The 22,002-nt window shown below is 48.8% G+C and overlaps 1 annotated feature.

Annotated features, from left to right (window-relative positions):
• Nucleotides 19,555–20,202: an enhancer, noted in NCBI's record as "H3K4me1 hESC enhancer chr10:72800281-72800928 (GRCh37/hg19 assembly coordinates)". NCBI's record gives its function as "activates a minimal SCP1, AML or CMV promoter by ChIP-STARR-seq in naive H9 embryonic stem cells {active_cell/tissue: H9 hESC(naive)}" and the evidence as "EXISTENCE:reporter gene assay evidence [ECO:0000049][PMID:30033119]".

Here is a 22,002-nt window from a genome sequence, read left to right on the forward strand (position 1 = left end):
AAAGGCCAGAGGTCTCCTTGGGGAAAGATGGGAGAAAGATTCACTGTGTAAATTGTTGATAATGTAGTGGGGTCCTTCCTCAGGGAAACTCGGCCTCCGCTTCATTCAAGGGGTTCTGGGTCTGTAAACTGGCTCAAGTCTGGAAATTGATTGAGGGGCCATTATTCTCTATTTTTATAACTCAAATTAGTTTTTATCCATTTGACCTAGAAGTTTTCTGTTTGTATAATTTAAGTAGGAATGCAGTAGGCTTCCTATCAATTTCACTTCTAGGAACACAGTGATTAGTTAGCCAATACCAGAGCTCTACATGAGTCAGACTATTCTGATTGCCGTTTTTCCTCTGCTGTCCATTACAGTAGGTATGACCACCTTGCCTTTGACAGTTGAGTGCTGCCACTTGGCCCCTTCTACTTCAAGATCCAATTATTCCCATTGTATTTAAGGGCTATTTAAGTGTAGCACACCTCCTCATGGGTCACACTGTCAACCTCACTTCTAGGGGCCTGCAGGGACTTTAGTCTAGTTATAAGTCCAGAAGCAAACAGGGGTATTGGGGATGGCCCTGGGGAAAATCAACATTATTTTGCCTGGCAACTGCCACTTTGTAGTTGAGTGACTGCGGTTCCCACCGTTAGATCTGACATACAAGAGAAGAGCAATTATAGGGCTCTTCAAAGATGCAGGTGCTACCCTCACAAAACTATTTCACAAAGCATTGGTCAAGAGTATATCTTCTGGACCCTCCCAGCTGGGATGAGTATGTCTAAACTGATTAATCCACTCCACCATCCCAGTCTGCCTAAGCCCTTGGATCCCTTCCTCTACGTTAAACCAAGGGAGATCGGGCATTTCCAGCTCGCTCACAGTGGGCCATCTTTTAATCCGTATTTCAGCTAACCAAGCAAATAAACTATTAGAACCTTTTTTTAACTCCTTGAGCTACAACATTAAATGCAGAGTCCCTACTTAGTGGGCCCAAATCAATTAAATTCAGCCTGATCCAACTCTATGTTCCTTCTACCATTATCCCACACCCGTAATATCCATTCCCATGCTTGTTCTCGAGATTTCTGTTTATATAAATTAGAAAACTCAAGCAGTTCTTTTTAAGTGTAGCACACCTCCTCGTGGGTCACACTCTCAACCTCACCTCTAGGGGCCCACAGGGACTTTAGTTATAAGTCCAGAAGCAAATAAGGGTGTTGGGCGTGGCCCTGAGGAGAACCAACATTATTTTGCCTGGCAACTGCCCCAGGGGAGGCCATCAGTGTTGCCTTAGGCAGTGCAAGGTTTATCTCCTCAGACAAAGGTGGAAAGGCTGATGGCAGCTTGGATTGGGGAGGGGATGTTGCCACTACTGGGGATGGGGAAGCCGTTTCTTCTGGCAAAAAAAGCTTCATCAGAGTTTACAAACTCACTGTCCCCAACTTCATCAGGGTCCTCCCACACATCCCCATTCCAAGTTGCAGGGTCCCATTCTTTTCCAATCAATGCCCCGACTTTAACAGTAGACACCTGGCGAGGCTGTGCATGCACTTTTGTTGCAGGTCAGCCACTTGCATGGTAAAAGCTTGTGTCTGTTTTTCCACAATTTCAGCTCTTTCCCTACAGGAGATAAGACTCTCAGGACAATCTTAGCAGATTTGTGGCTCAGTATCTGCTTCTGAAGCTGGGAGATAGAATCCCTGAGTTTATCATTTTTTTTCATCACTTTGTCCACTGAATTTAGCTTCATTATGTTCCTTAGTTCTCCACATATGTCAAAGATATTATGTATGAGTCACTAAACTCCTTGCCTCTCACAAGTGAGGAATTAGGAGTGCCAAACGCATTTACTTTGCATAACTCTCTAAACAGTTCACACCAAGGACTATCAGTGTTCTCTATACTATTAGAAGTAGAATCCTTAGCATTTTGGGGTCTAGTCATATGAAGCAGCCAACTCCAGGAGCCCCCAAACCAATGAAAGAACTCCATCGTTAATGTTCTGTTCCTCTAGAACACTCCTGGCACCAAAATCTGTATTAGTCAGGGTTCTCTAGAGGGATAGAACTAACAGAATATATATATGATATATATATATATTTCACAAGGCATTGTGAATATATAAATTTATATCTATATAAATATATTGTAAATATAGATTTATATATAAATATATTGTAAATATATATATAAATATGTTGTAAATATATATATAAATATATTGTAAATATATATATAAATATATTGTATATATATTTATATATAACTATGTTGTAAATATATATTTATATATAAATATATAAATACATATTTATATATTAATATATAAATACATATTTATATATTTATAGATTTGTAAATATAAATATATATTATATATTATATATTTATATATTTTATATATCTATTTATATATTTGTAAATATATTTATATATTTATATTTTATAAATATATATATTTACTTTTTATATATTTTTATATATATTTATATATTTTATATATATTATAAAAATTATATTTTTATATATAATTATTTTATATATATAAAATTATATATAATTATTTTATATATATAAAATTATATATATTATATAAATATATATAACATATATTTATATAATATATATAATTTTTAAAATAATAATTATATGTAATTATTATAAAAATATATTTATATATATTTATATATATTTATATATTTATATATAAATATATAAATATATAAAAATATACATTATATATTTATATATATAATATTATATATATATTATATATTATCACAAGGTCCCACTATAGGCCACCTTCAGGCTGAGGCGCAAGAAGAGCCAATCCATGTTTCAAAACTGAAGAACCTGGAGTCTGATATTCAGGGTGGGAAGCATCCAGCACGGGAGAAAGAAGTAGGCTAGGAGGCTAGGCCAGTCTCTCTTTTCACATGTTTCTGTCTGCTTATATTCTAGCTGTGCTGGCAGCTGATTACATTGTGCCCACCCAGATTAAGGGTGGATCTGCCTTTCCCAGCCCACTGACTCAAATGCTAATCTCCTTTGGGCAACACCCTCACAGACACACCCAAGATGAATACCTTCTATCCTTCCATCCAATCAGGCTGACGCTCAGTATTAACCCACACAGTGTCAAATAAGGGAATGAAAAAATGTTCAATGTCTCTAGTCATTAAAGAAATACAAACAGCCACGCATGGTGGCTCATGCCTGTAATCCCAACACTTTGGGAGGCTGAGGGGGGCAGATTGCTTGAGCATAGGAGTTCGAGACCAACCTGGGATACATAATGAGACCTCATCTCTACAAAAATAAAAAAATTAGCCCGGTATGGTGGCACACGCCTGTGGTCTCAGCTACTCAGGAGGCTGAGGTGGAACGATTGTTTGAACCCAGAAGGTTGAGGCTGCAGTGAGCTGTTATCGTGCCACTGCATGCCAGCCTGGGCAACAGAGTGAGACCCTGGCTCAAACAAACAAACAAAAGAAGAATGTGCACCCCTCCTCGCCTAATTCATGTGCTGGAAACAATCCCCAGTGCAACCGTGTGGAGAGGCAAGACCATTAAGAAATGATTAGGTCGTGGGGGCTCTGCCCTTATGAATGGACTAATGCTGTTATCACAGGAGTGGGTTAGTTATTGTGAGACTGGGTTTGTTATAAAAAGTGAGTGTGATTCCCTCTTGCTTTCTCTTTCATGTGTGCTCCTTTGCCCTTCCACCTTCCACATGGGATGACACAGCAAAAAGGCCCTCCTCAGATGCTGTCGCCTTGGTATTGGACTTCTCAGGCTCCAGAACTAAAAAAATTCATGAGAAATAATTTTTTTTTAATAAACCACCCGGTCTATGTTCTGTGATAACAACATGAAATGGACAACATCTATAAGAATGAGTAAAATAATTTAAAAAAACAACCATACCAAGTCCTGACAAATATGTGGAGCAACTGGAATTCTTATACAATTCTAGCGAGAATAAAAAATAGTGCAGCCACTCCAGAAAACAGTTCGGCATGGTCTTATAAAGGGAAACATACAACGGCCATTTCACCAAACAAGCCAATACTTGAGCCTTTACCCTAGAGAAATGGAAACTTATGTTCACAGAAAAACCTGTATGTGAATATTAGTAGAAACTCTACTTCACAATTGCCCAAACTGGACTCAGTCCAAATATTCTGCAGTGGCGGAATGGATAAACAAACTGCCGTAGAGCCATGCAATAGAATACTAGTCAGCGATAAAAAGGACCAGGCTACTCGAACTGCATGCAGCAACTTGTATGAATCGCAAAGGCTTATGCTGAGCAGAAGCCACTATCACAAGGTTACCTTCTGCATGATTTTATCTATACTACCTTCTCGAAAAGCCGAGAGTATAGCGTTGGAGGGCAGATCAGCGGTTGCCATAGGGTTGTGACTATAAAGGCACAGCATGAAGGGGTTTTGGGGAGTGATAGGACTGTTCTGTACTCTGATTGTGGTGGTGGTTACATGAATCTATATATGTGAAAGTTCACAAAACTGGTGATTATTTCACAATGCATAGATATATCAAATTATCAAGTTATAAAGCTTAAACATATAATGATTTTAATTGCCAATTATACCTTAATAAAGCTGGAAAAAATCTACAGAACTGCACACCAATTCTACGTATGATAATTTTGAAGTAAAATGAATTAAAAAAGAAAAAACCTCTCAGGTGATCCAAGCATCACAGTTTGATGGCTGCATTCCTGAGTCCAGTACTCACCTGTTGCTTAGCAACAAAGCTTGGGCCTTTCCACCAATCACACCTTGAGCTCCCAAATCAAAACAAAAGTTTCTCGAAGGTAAGGGCCAGGATCCTCGGGCCTCTGTGGCTCCATGGCTACTCTCAGATCCTCCCTCCTTTTCTTTTTTTTTTTTCCTTCCTTCCTCCCTTGGTTCCTTCCATTCTTTCTTTCTGTCCTTTATGGGAGCGCTCCCCAGGAAGATGCTCAACCAGGAGCTCATCTTGTCTTCCAGGCCTGGGTGCCCTCCATATGACCTGGGAAGTGGGCAGTGGCTGACTTGGAACAGCCACCGTGGGAGATAATAAATGTCTCTGAATCTTCTTGCTCAGTCACCCCATTGGAAACATTGGGAGATCAAGGCTCAGAAGGATGCCCTGTTATTCTGGAAGTTAATGGAAGGGTCAGGACTGGAAGCCAGCCCCCTGACCTGAAACGTGGGACCATTCCCATCAGCACTCACAAGCAGGTTTGCTCCACTCCCCTGTCCCCCACCTCCAGGCTCCAGGATGCTATTTAGTGTTTCCCCCCTTGTTTAATAAGAGTCACTTTCATGCCGATAGCTCCCCTAACTTCTCTTTCCCACCAATCACTTTTATGCTCCAGACCTACAGGGCTAGAGAGTTGCACTGGGAGATTCCTCAATATCTTCAAAACCAATCCACTCCAAACTGATCTCTTCTTTCCTTGAAATCACCTGCCCCTTCCCCTGTTCCCCATTATTTCTGTCTCCTACGTCAGAAACCTGAAGCCCACCTGGCTTCCCCCCATCTCTCCCTCCACAGCCAGATCTGCTTCTGGAAACGCTCTTGAATGCATTTTCTTTTTCGTGTCCTTTCAGCCACTGCTGAGGTCTAGTCCTTACTACCTATGGGAGGTGCCCTGGACTCTGGCCTGTCCTCCACAGGACCACCAAAACGTGATCTGATGGAGCCTCACCCCGCAGGTGAACCCATCTGGATTCGTCCTTGCTTGGTGAGAAAATGGCCAATGTCTTTACTTCCATCAACGAGGCCTTTGCTGCCTGGCCCCAGCCTGTAGCTCCAGCTTCGCCATCTACCCCACACTGCCTGGCTACTCCTGATGGAGCCCTGCTCATGCAGCTCCTTTCCATTGGGATGCTCTCCTCATCCCTCACCCGCCTGCTTTTGCCTGGCTAATCCCCAGGTAGTGCGCAGAATGCTGGGCTCCATACCTAATCTCTAGAACCTATGAATGGGGGAGAAAAAGCCTTTGGAGGTGTAATTAAAATAAGATCTTCAGATAAAGACATCGATCTGGATTATCCAGGTGGGCCCTAAATCCAATAACAAGTATCCTTGTAAGATGAGGCAGAGGGAGATTTGACAGAGATAGGGAGGAGGCAACATGACTTCAGAGGCAAGGGCTGGAGTGACGTGGCCACAAGTCAAGGACTACCAGCCACCACTGGAAGACTGGAGGAAGCTGGAAGAGTCAAGGAAGAATTCTGCCCCTGAGCCTCCAAAGAAGCACTGCCTTGCTGACACCTCGATTTCAGACCTCTGGCCTCCAAAACCACGAGATAATAAATAGCCATTGTTTGAAGCCACTGAGTTTGTGAACTAGTTATAGCAGCTACAGAAAACTACCATACTCAGGGTTGACCTTCTCTGTGACATGCTCCCAGGCCTCTTGGGGAGAGTCGCTCCTTCCCCTGTGGTTTCACTTGTCCCACTGGAAGGGGTGTCAGGAAGGGCTGAAGGCTGTGGCTTCTAAACCAGGCTGTCACCAACAGGGAGAGGTGGAGCAAATGTTCTCTGTGTGTGTGTTGTGGGGGGAGCAGTTTGCCCTTCCTGAACAAGCCAGGGGTTTGCATATCCTGCTGGATATGTCTTCCCACTGGCCATGAGGGCACCAAGAGAGATGTATAGGAATGTATGTAGCAGCAAGCAACAAACCATCCAATAGCTCCTAATAACAACCATTAGAAACAACCGTTGTGCATTTTGAGGATGGGTAAATAATGGTGGTATAGCCACACACTGGAATACCATATGGAAGTGAAAAATGGAGTCGTAACTGCATACAAGATGGAAAAAATCTACAAAATACAATGTGGGCAGGAAAGGTACTGTAGAAGAATACCTGCAGTGATCTTGTTGATATAAAGAATCTGCGTGGGTGAGTGCAACATGATGGTTTAGGGGTTTGGAAAGAAAGGCAAGGGAATGACAGGCCAAATTGGAAACCGTGGCCACCTCTGCAGGGCAGCTGGGCAGAAGCAGAAAGGGACTGTCTAAGCAGTGCTTCTCAAACATTAATGGGCACACATCACACAGGGGTCTGGTTAACATGCGATTTGATTCTCATTCGGTGGGTTTCAGGTAGGGCCTGAGAGTCTGTGTCTTCTACAGGCTTCCAGGTGAGGTTGACCCTGTGGATCCAGACCACATTTTGGGTAGTGAGGATGAGCCAAGAGGCGGCGATGGCCCAGCCTGGGGATGCTTGACCCTCACCACACATCGGACTCACTCCAGGAGCTTCTCAAAAGCACTGACGCCAGGTCCCCTGGAGACCAGCAATATGAGCAGCCCTGGGCGCGGAGCCCAGGCGTGGCTTTGTGAACAGCTCCCAGGGGCTGCACGGTGAAGCAGGTAGAGGCCCCTACTCCAGTCTGGACTGGGGGATATACAGGTGTTCATTTTCTCTTCATCTTTTAGGCTTTTCATGTATGCTATCTGTGTTCCTTTGTATGTATAAGGCACACACAAAATATAAAATGTTTTTTAAAAGAGTGCAAATTAAAAAAAATAATAATCCAGATCTATGGGGTCAGGGAGGAAAAAGAACAAGCAACTAAAAAGGATTCTTAGGCCAGGCGCAGTGGCTCATTCCTATAATCCCAACACTTCGGGAGGCTGAGGCGGGCGGATCACTTGAGCCCAGGAGTTCAAGACCAGCCTGGGCAACATGCCGAAACCTCATCTCTACAAAAAAATTAAAAATTAGCCGGGTGTGGTGGCATGCACCTGCAATCCCAGCTACTTGGGAGGCTGAAGCAGGAGGATCACCTAAGTCTGGGGAGTTTGAGGCTGCTGTGAGCTGTGATGGCGCCACTGCACTCCAGCCTGGGCAACAGAGCGAGATCCCATCTCAAATAATAAAAAATTAACAAGACTCTTAAAAACCACTTTAGTCCACAGCAAAGAATCCTGTCGACTGTTAGGCCTATTGGTGGGCACAGCCGGCAGCCGTCGTGTTGTTGGCCAGTCAGCTCCCTATCTGTGATAGTCAGGGTCAGCCAGGCAACAGCACGGTAAGTTAAGCTGTGGGTCAGTCCAGCAGCCAGCAAGTCAGTTTGAGTCCCTGAGCAGTTAGTGCTTCCTATTCCCAGTCAGCTAGGGCATCCGCTTGTTAGGACGGTGGTTGTTCCTCTGTCCGTCAACGTGTAGTCATTGTTGTCAGGTATCGGGGAGTTACCACTACCCAACCCCACTGCCAACTGTGGTTGCAAGGGTTGGTGGGAAAGGCCCATGGGTCCATGGAGGGCTCAGTCATTGGCAAGTCAGCCGCTCAGCCAGTCAGTAGGTCAGTCAGAATGGCAATTGGTGAGAGAGTCAGTCAGCAATGAAGCAGCCAGCCAGCAGCCTGCCAGACAGACTTTCTCTACTTCAGCCAGCCTGTTGGTGAGACAGTCTTTAGTCAGGAAACCCCTGAGTCTGTCAGTCAGACCCTAGTCAGACAGATAACTTGTCAGGCCTGAGTCGTGTGAGACAGCCAGGTCTCACACGTGGGTCAAGCAGCCCCAGGCTGACAGTTAGCTCCATCAGTCAGTCAATGAATGGGCCAGTCACCACGCCAGCACCTCAGCCAGTTGGGGAGACAGCCTTAGTTGATGCCCAGGGCTTCACTCAGACATGCTCTGCCCACAGTCCCTGCACGGTCTGTCTGGCTGTCTGTCTGTATGTCTGTCATGCAGGTAGCTGTGAGTCAGGCCGCACCCCAGCCACCCAGCCAGGCAGCTGCAGGGCCAGCTCACCCTCTCCATGCTGAGCCAGTTCATTAAGAACCCTGCAGACTGGGGAGAACTCCAAGGCCCTGTTCAACAGCAGTGAGGCTCTGTTACTATTATTAGCGAAGAGCGCTCCGGAGGCTCCGGAAAGTGGAAAAGGCCATCAATAGCCCTGTCCTGCTTCCCCCTCCACACCTCTCTCTCCATTAATGAGGTTCCTGCCACAGAGAAGGGGCGCTTCCCGGAGGCCGGAATTGGAGGAGGGGGCAGGGGGTGGGGGAGTGGTTCCAGTCAGCCCTGCTGCCATCCCCATGGGGGGGTGGGTGGGAGTGGGGACTGAACAGGAGCCGCTTCTCCCTGGCCTGGCCCTGCCTGCCTTCAGGGTCTGTGTCCCCCTCTGAGCTGCCGTCTCTGAACAAGCCAGGCGGTGGGCGTGCAGCTAAGGTCCACACAGGGCACAGGGATTTGATGTCAGCTGTTGTGTTTATCTGCTGTGACTCAAAAAGAAAGGAGAAAACACAGTTGCAGAGTCTACTTTTCCGTTCATGGAAGTTCCCGTCTGCGATTGTATTTCAGATCACAGCCTCCTGAAAGGTAGCAGCATCCCCCTGTATGCACTGAGGTTCGGAATGAGAAGCGTTTGCCCCAGGTGGATTCCATCCAGGTGCGCGTGACCCCAGCGTGCACAGCTTCTCCTTACTGGGCTGCCTCTCCGGTGCTGGCAGAGGGCTTTCCGTTCCTAGCTTCAATCTCCCCTTCTTTTCCATGGGGCTGGAGAGGAGATTTCTGAGGTCTCTCATGCTCTAATGTTCTCTGCTGGACGTATGTTCTCTTATGAACTTGCTGTTGGAACATGCTATGCCTGGGACCAGACCAGAAGCAGAGGTAGGGGCTGGAGAGCAGCGTTCCTCGGCCTTGGGTCTGGGGTAATGGGCCCACTCTTTTATAAGCTTCTAGACTTATGGAGCCAAAGGGAGCTTAACGCTTACTTGGTCTGCATCCGGTCTCATCAGAAGCAAAATCTTTCCTGCAACCATGTAGTCAGCACCTATCTGTGCTTATACATTCCCAGTGACAGGGAGCTCACTACCTCTAGGAGCCTTTTCTATTGTGGGGCAGCCTCGGCCCTCGTAAAGTCACTCCACATCCTAGGCCCATACCTTTAGGTCTCAGTTCTGCATTTTGGTGCCACCCAGATTAAGCCTCATGCTTCTTAAGAGGGCTGCCCTGCTATTCAGACTTGGGGAAAGACAACAGGATTTCCTGTTCGTCAGTTGTTTCAGTTGCGTGCAAGGGAAAAAATGCTGGAGAAGAGTGGAAACAAAGAGCAAGGCTCTTGGGTCAGTGTGGTAGACTGCTGGCACTAGTGGCCTCAGTTTAGCACTTGCTGTATCCATGGGTTTAAGTGGCACCCTCCAACATTGACTTACTTCGGGCAGTGGGATAGCAGCAAACTTGATGTAAGCAGAGGCTTGTAAAGATGCCTAGTTTTTTCCACATTCTTTCCTGGACCCCGGCCACCTCCTGAGAACAAGCCCTGGACAGCCTGCTCGAGGGATGCGAGAGACACATGGAGAAGAGCTCATGTGTCCCAGCCAAAGTCATCCTACAGCAGCCAGCACCAGCTCATCCTCCAGCTCACCACAGACACCTGAGTGAGCCCAATCCATATCAACTGAGGCTGGTTCAGATTAGCCAAACTGCCCAGCTGACCCAGAGACTCATGAGAAATGACAGTTGTTATTTTCAGCGACTAAATTTGGGGGCAGTTCGTTACACAGCAATAGCTCACTAAGAAAGACACTCAAAACTCTCCAAGGTTCAGCCTTGCTTCTCCCTTTCCTAGCAGTGTGACTTCAGATAAACCATAGAATCTCTGGAAGTCTCCGTGTTCTCATCTGTTAAGTGGGGCTACTAAATCCTGCTCTTCCTCCTTCAAAGGAGGCAGTCACAAGTAATACATAGGGAAGTACATTGCTAACTAGAAGGAGCATAAAAAGGGGCTGGGCTCAGGAGGGTCTGGGGATTGGCCCGAGGGTGAGTGTCCCTGCAGCTGCATGTCAGGGCTCTGCTAAGCAGAGGGCAGTGCAGTATATTAACCCAGCTCACCTCCCTGTCCAGAAGCAAGCATGGCAGGCTGAGTGATGGGGCCAACTGCAGGCTTATTTACAAACATAGCCCTTTTGCCTTCTCTTCCTCTGTAAGCCCTACTGGAAGCATATAAATGAGAATCAATAGGCCAGTTATTAAACCGTAAATATCCCTCCCCTCAGGCTCTTGGGCCAAGAGCTCTGAGCCTCTCAGCTGAGAGGGGTGCCGAGGGTGCCTCACATGCAGTCTGCCTTACACCCCAGCCCAGCCCACCACCCCAGAGCAGAGGAGAGACTGCCACTACCTTTCCGGGTAGAGAGGAGACCTGATCCATGCAGAACCAAATTAAAGGAGTCCTCAAACCACCATGCAACATCTATTATTTAGGAAAGGAGGAGAGCCACGTGAGTATGGCACAAACCCTTTACCTACCTAGGCTGAAACTCAGAATGCTTGAGTGAGAAAGGGGCTGAGAAATCCATTCAAGCACCTACATATTCTGTGGATGCAGAGACAACTCAGGGGCCCAAAGGGGGGCAACTCATCCAAGAAGATATGCCCAGAAAGCGACAGAATCCAGACTCAAACCCAGATGTATGGCCTATGAACTGTGCCATCATCTAAGACAGAAGAGGAATTATGGTGCACAGGTAGGGAAGGGACATAGAGGGTGAGGCAGTTAATAGGGTCCAGGGAGACAGGACTGGGATATAGCAATGAACCCAGGGAAAGAAAGCTGCTTAAAGGAGCTGGGAGGAGATGAAGGGAAGGAAAGACAGTGTTACATGAGCAGGGGCTGGTGAACTGGGAAGTTTGGTAGTTTGGTACAAGAGAGAAGAATATAAAGACACACACACACACGCACGCACACACAGCAGACAGGGGGAAGTGGTAGGCTTCCTGCATTCCTTAACTGTGGACATCATGGAGGCTGCATTTAAACTGGGCCATGGAGGATGAGTAATTTGAGCTGGGCCATGGACAGTGAGTAGGATCTATGCTCACTTAACCTTCTCTATACATGGAGCAGAAAGGAATGAAGGGCAATCCAGGAGGAAGGGCCAGAATAAGCAAAGGCATCAATGGTGGTAGCGATGATAACAATGATGATGATGGTGATGGCAATGATGGTGGTGGTGATGAAGATGATAATAATGATGATGGTGGTGGTGATAATGATGGTAATGGTGATAAAGATGATAATGATGGTGATGATAGTGATGGTGGTGGTGGTGGTGATGAGAGTGGGGATGATGGTGCTGATGAAGATGATAATAATGATGAAGATGGTGATGATGAAGATGATAATGATGGTGATGATGATGGTGATGATGATTATGGTGATGATAATGATGGTGATGATAATAATGGTGATGATGATGATGATGGTAGCTATCACTTTTCTTTTTTTGAGACAGAGTCTCGCTCTGTCACCCAGGCTGGTGTGCAATGGCACGATCTCGGCTCACTGCCGACCCAGGGACTGGACAGCCGGGTTCAAGCCAGGTTCTGCTTTCTACTAGCTGCGTGACTGCAAGCAACCTCTCTGGGCCTCAGTTTTCTTGTTGATGAAAGAGAGATGATTATAATGATAAAGCTCCTTGCCCACGAGGTGCTGAGAGGCGTGGAGGGGGTGATCCTCAACAATTGCTCAGAAGAGTGGCTGACACAGAGCAAGCGCTCAGGGCGAGCTAGTATTTTTCTCTGCATCTTGCCCGTGACCTTTCTGCATGTGGATGCTTGCCAAAGGTGGGCTGCAGTGAATAGGAGTGACCACTAGGATGTTTTTCCTGCCCCAGATCTGAGCCCTCCTTTTGTATTTGGAGGCTATTCCGTGTCTATCTGCTGCTATAGAAAATTCCGGCTCCTCGGTTTCCCAGCCTCCCTTACAGCACAGGTGCAGACCCGTTCCCTGAGGTCTGCCTGTCGAGCGGGCCAGGATGCACACCAGCGGGACCCTGGAAAAGCCTTTCTGGTGGTAGGCAGCAGAGCAGCTCCCTGAGCCTCCAGGGCAGCATGGCAGTGGGCAGCACGTGCGGCTCCCATGGCCCTGGAGGCAGAGCAAGGGGTGGCTTCCCCTGGAGGCTGGCAATGTCCTTAGACTGGTTTAGTGGCATGGCTGTTTGGTCTTCGGTCTGGCCGCAGTGCTTTCCAGTCCTTCCCAGTGATTCTGTGAGTCCCTGGATTACGTTCAGTACATCCTATTTCTGTTCAATCGGTGTTGATTTCTTCTGGCTGCATCTAGGACTCTACATTATTCAGAGGAGGGTGGAGTCTCTATCATACCCATTGCTGGACTCAGACACTGGTGAGATCCTGGACCAGGCCCCTCAGGCTCAGCTGCGGCTGAGGGGAGCCAGAGCCAGGACACACACTGCTGATGGTGTGAGCACCACATCTGTGGCCACCCTGCACTTCCATCAGAGGAACCCAGTGGAGGCCACTCCAGAGCACCGGCCATGGCCCCCAGAAGGGTCAGGCACAAACTCCAACATCAGGGGGTCACTTATGATTAAAAATGCCCTGAATCCAGGAAGGGGCTGTAGCTCACGACCACCTGCAGACAGAAAGACCTTGGGAAAGGCAGCTGGCCTAGGAGTAGAATTCCTGCCTAACTCCAGCCTGAGCAAGGGCTGTGTTATCACAGAACAGTGATGAGAGCCTCTGGTGTTTACACTCAGCTGTACCTTTTCCCCTGTTTTCTCATTTCTACCCATCCTACAGAGGGGAAGTGGGAGCTCAGAGGCTCCCACTGGCTTTCCCAAGGTCCCATAGCAATGACAAGTAGAGACCAGTCCCAACCCAGGTGTTTAATGTCAAGGCTGAAAGGAATGTTGGAGGACACTGAGGCCCAGGACAGGGGTGGCCAAGGGAGCCTATCACAGGGACTCAGATTTTGAACTTTGTGGCATTATTCACAACAGCAAAGACTTGGAACCAACCCAAATGTCCAACAATGATAGACTGGATTAAGAAAATGTGGCACATATACACCATGGAATACTATGCAGCCATAAAAAATGATGAGTTCATGTCCTTTGTAGGGACATGGATGAAATTGGAAATCATCATTCTCAGTAAACTATCGCAAGAACAAAAAACCAAACACCGCATATTCTCACTCATAGGTGGGAATTAAACAATGAGAACACATGGACACAGGAAGGGGAATATCACACTCTGGGGACTGTTGTGGGGTGGGGGGAGGGGAGAGGGATAGCTTTAGGAGATATACCTAATGCTAAATGACAAGTTAATGGGTGCAGCACACCAGCATGGCACATGTATACATATGTAACTAACCTGCACATTGTGCACATGTACCCTAAAACTTAAAGTATAATAATAATAAAATTTAAAAAAAAATGAAAAAAAGACCCCCCAAAATACTCTCTTATGACTTTGGAATGGGACACCCTGCCATGGGAGAGAGTGAGCTCCCTGTTAGTAGAGGTATGTAAGGAAAGGTGGAAGAGGTGGGAATCACTGGGTGCAGATGCACTGAGGGGCAAGGATTTCTACTGACTATAGGGGCTGCCGTCTCCTGGGGGCCAGTGGGTCTCTATAAATGGAGCTGAAAGCTTCCTGAAAAATGCCTGTCTTGTGATCTCTGTTGTCCCTCTGCTTTGAGCGTTTGGCCAAGAGGACAGAGATCCACATAAAGTGGCCTGATTTTAAATGGGGTGCCTTGAGCTGCCTCGAGAGGTAGAGAAAAGCCCCAGAGTCATAAAGAATCCTGCCCCCAACACAGTCCTGCGCCTCTACACACGTGTGCACTCTAGCTTACCAATGGAGAAACTGAGGTGCAGAGAGGGGGAGCAAGGGGCCCCAAGGCAGCTGGAAGTGGAATGGGATGAGAACCCAAGTCTTTGACACTTAGTCTAGGGCAGTGGTTCTCGGAGTGGGGTCCCCCACCAGCAGCCTCAGCAAGCCCTGGAAACTTGTTGGAAACATAACTTCTCAGGCCCCACTGACTCTGAAACTCTGGGGACAGGGCCCATAGTCTGGGTTCCACTGAGTCCTCTGGGGGATTCTGATGTGCGCTGAAGCTGAGAACCATCAACCAGAGTGCTTTTGTGTTTCAGCATTCACTGACTGGAGGCCCATGAATGAGGCCCCTCCTGAGATGTGCCTGGCAATATCCTGCTTTCTAAGCCATAAGAGGAAACATGACCCCTCCTGGCTTATAGGCTACATGTGTTTTATCTCAATGAGGTTGACATCCCCAAGCTCAGATATGTGGAATGACCCGGCAAGGTCACACGGCAGTGTGGTAGTTTCTCTGGAATTAGAACTCACATCTTCCAAGTTTTCAGCCAGCATTCAAGTGCATCTTTTGGACCTGATTCCCCTTACCCCAGCCCACCTGACATCATAGGGCCCTCACCCCTCCCTGAACCATGCAGAAAACCCTGGGCCACAGCACTCCCTGCCCTAGCCAGCAACAGGCTTTTCTCCAAGAGCCCTGGCTGCTCCAGGTAGTGGGGGCTGGATTGGTTTATTTATTGCTATCATTAATTAGTTTTGTTGGGGATGAAAGACAGGTCCCTGGAGAAGCCCAGTGCATTAAAGCCCATTATTCCATCATTGCTCTGGACTTGCCGGCAAGAAGCGTAGCCCCTCTTTGCTGTCAGCCCTGCACAATTAATTAGCCCGCAGCCGGAAAGGCAGCTCTCACACACCCCTGGGTGGAGAGGGCTCTGTTCCAGCATCTAGTGTCCTCCAGAGCTTTTCTGTCTCAATTCTAACTGGGGGAGGTATTGGGAAGACCCTCCTGAGGAGGGGCACTGCAATTGCTGGGTGTAGAAGGGAGGAGGGTATTCCTGGCCAGGTGGAACCCTTATCCTAATGATACTATTATTGAGTGCATTCTATGATGTGTCAGACACTGGGCTAAATGCTTAGAGCACATATTTAATTCTCACAAACGTCCCATGGGGCGCGTTTTTATTTGCCAGATGAAGAAATTGAGGCTCTGCTAGGGGGAGTGGCTTGTCCAAGAACCACAGCACAAAATGGTAGAGTAGAATTTCAACCTGGATCTGTCTGACTCCCAAGTCTGGGTTGAGTTTTAATAAAGGGGCTGTTTAGTGTGGCTCAGGAAGCTGGGGGCCTGGCCCCACGAGAAAGGAAGGATGGTAAGTTGGGCAGGAGGCCTGGAGTAAAGCAGAGAGGATGGGTATGTGATGAGGTCAAAGGGGCCTTTGCTGAACATGGAATCAGAAGCCATGAGTTTGAGGCCACTTATGAACTAAGTGACTTTGGGCAAGACCTCAGTTTCCCTTTCAGTGGGAAGATTGGGTCCAATAATGTGGGTTCTTCTCAAGAGAGGCTGTATAGCCTAGTGGTCCTGGAAAGGTGACCTCTAGGGAGTTAATCTTTCTGAGCCTCAGTTTCCTCATCTGAAAAACGGGGATAGTAATAATACCCTATGGGGTTCATGTGAGGATTAAATGAAATTATACATGAAAGGGGTGAGCACAGTGTCTGACACTTAGGGAAGGCTTGATAAATGTTGGTGATGAGGAGGAGGAGGATTTGAAAGGAGTTAGTTTCAGGACAGCTTTGCCGTGAGTCTTGATCAAGTTACTCCATTATAGTTGTGCGCCACATAGTGACATTTCAGTCAACGACAAACCACATATTTGATGGTGGTCCTGTAAGATGATAATGGAACTGAAAACTTCCTATTGCCTAGTGATGTTGTAACATCGCAGCAAAATGCATTACCTTTTCTGTTTAGGTATACAAATTCTTTTTTTTGTTTGTTTGTTTTTTGAGATGGAGTCTCGTTCTGTCACCCAGGCTGGAGTGCAGTGGCGCGATCTTGGCTCACTGCAAGCTCTGTCTCCCGCGTTCACGCCATTCTCCTGCCTCAGCCTCCCGAGTAGCTGGGACTACAGGCACCCACCACTAAAAAAATGCCTGGCTAATTTTTTTTTTTTTTTTTGTATTTTTAGTGGAGACAGGGTTTCACCGTGTTAGCCAGGATGGTCTCGATCTCCTGACCTCGTGATCCACCCGTCTTGGCCTCCCAAAGTGCTGGTATTACAGGCGTGTGCCACCACACCTGGCCTAGATATACAAATTCTTACCATTGTGTTACCGTTGCTTGCAGTATTCCATACAGTGACTTGTAGTACAGGTTTGTAGCCTGGGAGCAATATAGTATAGCCTAGGTGTGTAGGAGGGTGTACCATCTAGGTTTGTGCAAGTCCACTCTGTGATGTTCATACAATGACAAAATCACCTAATGATGCATTTCTTAGAATGTATTTCCATCATTAAGTGACATCTGACTGTCATTACAGAATCACTGTGCTGTGGATTCATCACACCTGATGACCTTGGCAGGGAAAGAATGGCTAAGGTTCCAGAATGGTCCCTCTGTTTGTCAAGGCTTGGATTCTAGGCCTGGTTAAACCTCCCTTTTGCTGTGTAACCTCAGGCAAGTTGCCCAGCCCACCTTCTCCTATCTAGGCTTTGGTCATCCCATCTGTAACAACAGTAGATTGGCCAAGGTCAGACAGGGACACTGCCCCTCCCTGTCCCTGCCACATGGGTGGGAGTTGCCTCTCCTGAAGGCCATCCCTGCCCCTCAACATGGCTGACTCAGCCTTTGCCCAGTGGTAGGGGACAGGCTGCCTGCCGGAGGGTGCTAAGAAGTTAATTAAACCCTCCAGAAGCCATTTGTTAACAGGGGAGCGATGGTATATTCAATACCAGCCAAAGGTTGGTGGAAAGTAATGAGTCTTTCTTTAGCTGTGAATAATGTGTTCCCTCCCCTCGGCAACCCCCCAGCTCTGAAGGATGGTCCTGGGGAAGCCATGGCTCATCTTAATGGCCTGGGCACTGTGGGGCCTAGCAAGCCAGTCTTACCAGCAATCATCACTTCCCATCAGAGAAACTTGGCTTCTCTCTGTTTCTGTCTTACTCATGGTCTCTAACTATTCTCCAGATGATCTCTCTCTCCCTCCCTCTACATGCATTTGTTTCTTTCTCTCTCCCCCAGCCTGCAAGGAAAAGTTGCAGTCCACTGTGTCACATGCCTGCACTGCTCATATTGTATGTGGGAATCAACAGCCCTGCTGGGCAGCAGGCTTAGACACAGTTTGGAAATTGTGGGGAGGAAGGGGAGGCAAGGGCCTGGATATCACTGGCCCCAGGGGAAGGCAACTGACCAGGAGACTGCTCATGGACAGCTTGGGCCAGTCTGTGATGCCAGCTCCCTCTATGTGCCCACCCTGCAGAGGGCAACTTACCTCAGGCACTAAGACAGGTGTCTGAAGGAGGTGTCCCAGCCAGGCACCCAGGCACTCAGCACCTAGTTTGGGGCCCAGCGTGGAGTGACTATGGCTGTTCCATCTGTTTTTCTGAGCTTTATTTCTCCCCCAGCTGCTTCTATAGAAGATAGGGCTGGTTCTGGCTCAGCTACCCATGTGGGCCCTGGGGACAAAGGTCTTGACAGGGTCCTTTGGGAGGGAGACTGCCCCCAGCTCAGTGACCAACATGTCCCTCGTCTTGTGCACCCGCACCCATAAGCACCTCCTCTGGGCAGCTGCCAGAAGGGGTCTTCTGATGCCGATGCCCATCTGGGCTGCCATCCATCTCTCTGCCAATCTCTCCATGGGTACCCCTCACTCAATACCATTTTCTGGTTTTCACAGGCAGTTTCAGTCCACTCCCTCTGACTTGTACCTGGGGGAGCCTGGTCACAGCTGAAAAATAGGGAGCCCTGAGGCCTCCCCTCAACAGGTGGGCTGTGGCTTTGTCCCCCTTTGTGATAGCACAAAAAGAACCCAGGCAGGGGAGGGAAGGGGCCCATGGCCTAGCAGGTGTCTGTCACCATCCTGGCAGCCAGCATGGGGAAAGAGGTAGGAGGGGCGGGGGGGCAGTCATTCACTCGCCGAGCTAGGGACAAGGCACCTTGATTAGGCCCTCAAGATAATCGCCGCACACCTGGACTGGCACCCCAGAGGCCCCCGCCTCGCAGCCGCCCCTTTGTCTGCCTGGGGAGTCTCTGGCTCCAAAGCCTGAGGTTGCGGCTGATAGACTGGGCTAAAGCCAGGTGCTGAAACCCAAGAGCCAAGTGGTGGTGGGGAGGGTTTTGGGGAAGGAGGGCTCCTAGATCTGGGGAAATGCCCAGGTCCCTGCTTCCCTGGGTCCCACAGTGAACAGGGTGTTGGGAACAGAGGACCTAGCGGGGGAGAGGAGGGAGAATGGCTAAGATGTGTGCTGTGTGTGTGTGCAGATGTTTACACAAGGGGACACAGACAAACAGACAGTGGGATGGCTCCCCTCAGTCACCCCAGCCGTCACCTGCTGCCCTGACCACAGTTCCCACCTCTCTCCTCTGGCTAAGGGAGCAGCCTGGCCCTCCAGGTGGGTAGGACGGATGTCCCAGGGGGTGGACAATCCTCAAGCAATGAAGAATAAGAAGGGACAGGTAAATACCAGGTATTTCTGGTAAGTGCTCACAGAAAGATTGGCAGACAGATGGATGGCAGCCTGGATGGGCAGTGGCCTCAGATAGACCCCTCCTGGCAGCTGCCCAGAGGAGGTGCTCATGGGCACAGATGCACAGGACGAGGGCAGTGCTGGCCACTGAGCTGGGTGCAGCATCTCCCTCCCAAAGGACCTTGTAAACATCTCCTTTGTCCCCAGAGCCCACATGGGAAGGTAAATACTAGGATCCTGTATACAGGGGAGTGGTTTTAAGGTGTGTCCTATTCAGTCGTCCAGAATATTCCAAATAGGATTGCACTCTGGTTGCCCCCAGCTGGAACGCATTGGTGAACACACCCTTATTGCCTTTCCCTCCATGCCTGATGTCTCACTTCCCCAACAAGTCTCCTGGGATCCCCTCTCAAACCACTTGCACCCAAATTTCTTGTCCCAGGCTGTTTATACAGATACTCAAATTAAGACAGGGTGGCATCGGGGGCTGGGTCGGGTCTGCTAGTGTGCCCTACATGGGGGTGTGGGGGGGAAGGGCTGAGAAACAGCCTCTCAGAAGCTGCACAGGTTTCCTAAGCAAAGAGGGGCCCCGCCTGTACCAGCTCCCCTCCCAGCAGCAGGGTGTGCAGGATGAGCCCCACATCCTCCTGGGCACATGCTTGGAGCCCGTATTAGAGCATACCTACACTGATCTAGGGACTGGTCATGGGGGTCATGGGACACATGTGAGTGTGACAGCTGTGGGTAGGCAGGCGTGTCTGTACATATGTAAATGTGGGAGGATACGCATGACCGTGTGTGTGTGTGTGTGTGTCTGTGTGTGTGTGTGTATATACGTGTGTTTCCATGTAAACTCGAGGGGCTTCTGGCTTGGAGAGTTTGGCCAACTGGCCCTGCCCCACAGGCTGCCTGCAGACCCCCGAGCTGGCCAGCATAGGGGAGGGCAAGTGGAGGCTGGAGCTGAGCCATGCTCAGGGCAGAGGGCAGGACCGCTCTGGCCTCCTGGGGACCGAGCGGGGCCCTAGGAGTGGGAACATGAATATGGGGTGTTGCAGAGTGCTCTACACCATCACATGGCTCCCTGCACTGCCCCAGGCGGGGCTCAGCATGGGGCAGGCTGAGCCGGGGTATATTTAACATCCCGTTAATTGGGAATGGCATGTATCACGCGGCCCCAGGCCTAGGAGCTGCAGAACCAGGTTGCTAGGAGAAGTGTAATTTCCGTCCTTGCCCGCTCCCTTTCATGTCCCCCCGCCCCTTGTCTGTGTCACTCAGCTGCACCGAAAGCCCTGATTTCTCTCTAAAAATGAAACAGTGAGCTTGGCTGTGTGTTGGTGCTGGTGGGGCTGGAGGGGCATGTTTTCTGCCCATGACAAGGGCTAAGAAGTGGCCAGCTTTTTCCACAGTGAGTGCTCATCCCCAGGGGCCAGGCTCAGGAGAAACCCCAGTCTCCTTGGGGTTGACTCCCTTATCCTGGGGAGCACCAGGTTTAAAATGCAACTATCCACTCATGTAAGGGCCTTGGGGGTCAGCTAGGCCCAGCCCTTGTGACTCACATGGGGAAGGAGAGTCTCAGAGAGGGAAAACCACTTCCCCAGGGTCACACAGGAAAGCAGGCAAGAGCCAGGATTAGAACTGGAGTTCCTGGATCCTGGATTTGCTCAGTACTGCCTGCTCTGCAGGGGGAATCTCACCCTTCTCTGGCTCACTCAGATTTTCCCACACTGACGGAGAGCTACACGGAGGGGCAAGCTCCTTGCTGTAAGTGGGCCCAGGGGTCCAACGTAGCTCGAAGGAGTGGTTGCAACCCATCATCCCAGCTGATCCTGCAAACCTTGTCAGAACCAGCAGCCCCCAGTCTTGGTAGGAGGATGATGCTTTTCAAACAGGCTCAAGTCAGGCCAGCCCTCCCTGGCTCCCTCGCTGCTGCCTGCCCTCCTATACTGGGTCCAATACTGTCCCCTTAAAATTCATATCTCCCCTGGAACATGTGAATGTTAACTCGTCTTTGCAGATATAACAGGGTCTTTGCAGATATAATCCAGTTAAGATGAGCTGTGTCATAATCCAGTGACTAATGTCCTTGTAGGAAAGGGGAAATTTGGACAGAGCTGAGCTACACAGGGGGACTGCCATGTGATGATGGGGGTGGGATTAAGTGATTCATCTGCAAGCCAAGGAACCCTCGGGATGTTGGCCACGACCAGAGGCTGGAGGAGGCAAGGAAGGAGCATCCTTGGAGACTTTGGAGAGAGCATGACCTTCCTGACACCTTGGTTTTGGACTTCTGGCCTCCAGAACTGTGAGGAATAAGCTCTTGTTGTTTTAAGCCGCTAGTTGGTAATAGTTTGTTGTGGCAGTCCTAGGAAAGTAATATGCCTCTTCTCCACACAGCTGGGATCATGTGCCTACCTCTCCCCATCGTGGTCATTCCTGCCCTCAAGTGGGATGGGTGCAAGCTGCCGACCCCCCACTTTAGAACTTGACCCCAAGTCCCTTGTCTGCTATTTCTGTCACCTCGACCTCCACTTCTGATCACTTCCAGTGTCACCAACTGATCCTCTCACCTCGGGGCCCAGAACTGCTGGGGATCCCCCACAACCCCAGACAGCTCCCTGTATGTCCCCAGCTGCTCCCTGGCCAGCTCCTCTTTCCCTGTCCCCTCCTTGTCTGGCTGAGTCATTCCCATGCTCCAAAACTCCACATCTTCTCC

Source organism: Homo sapiens, chromosome 10, assembly GCF_000001405.40.
Source record: "Homo sapiens chromosome 10, GRCh38.p14 Primary Assembly".
Taxonomy (NCBI): Eukaryota; Metazoa; Chordata; class Mammalia; order Primates; family Hominidae; genus Homo; species Homo sapiens.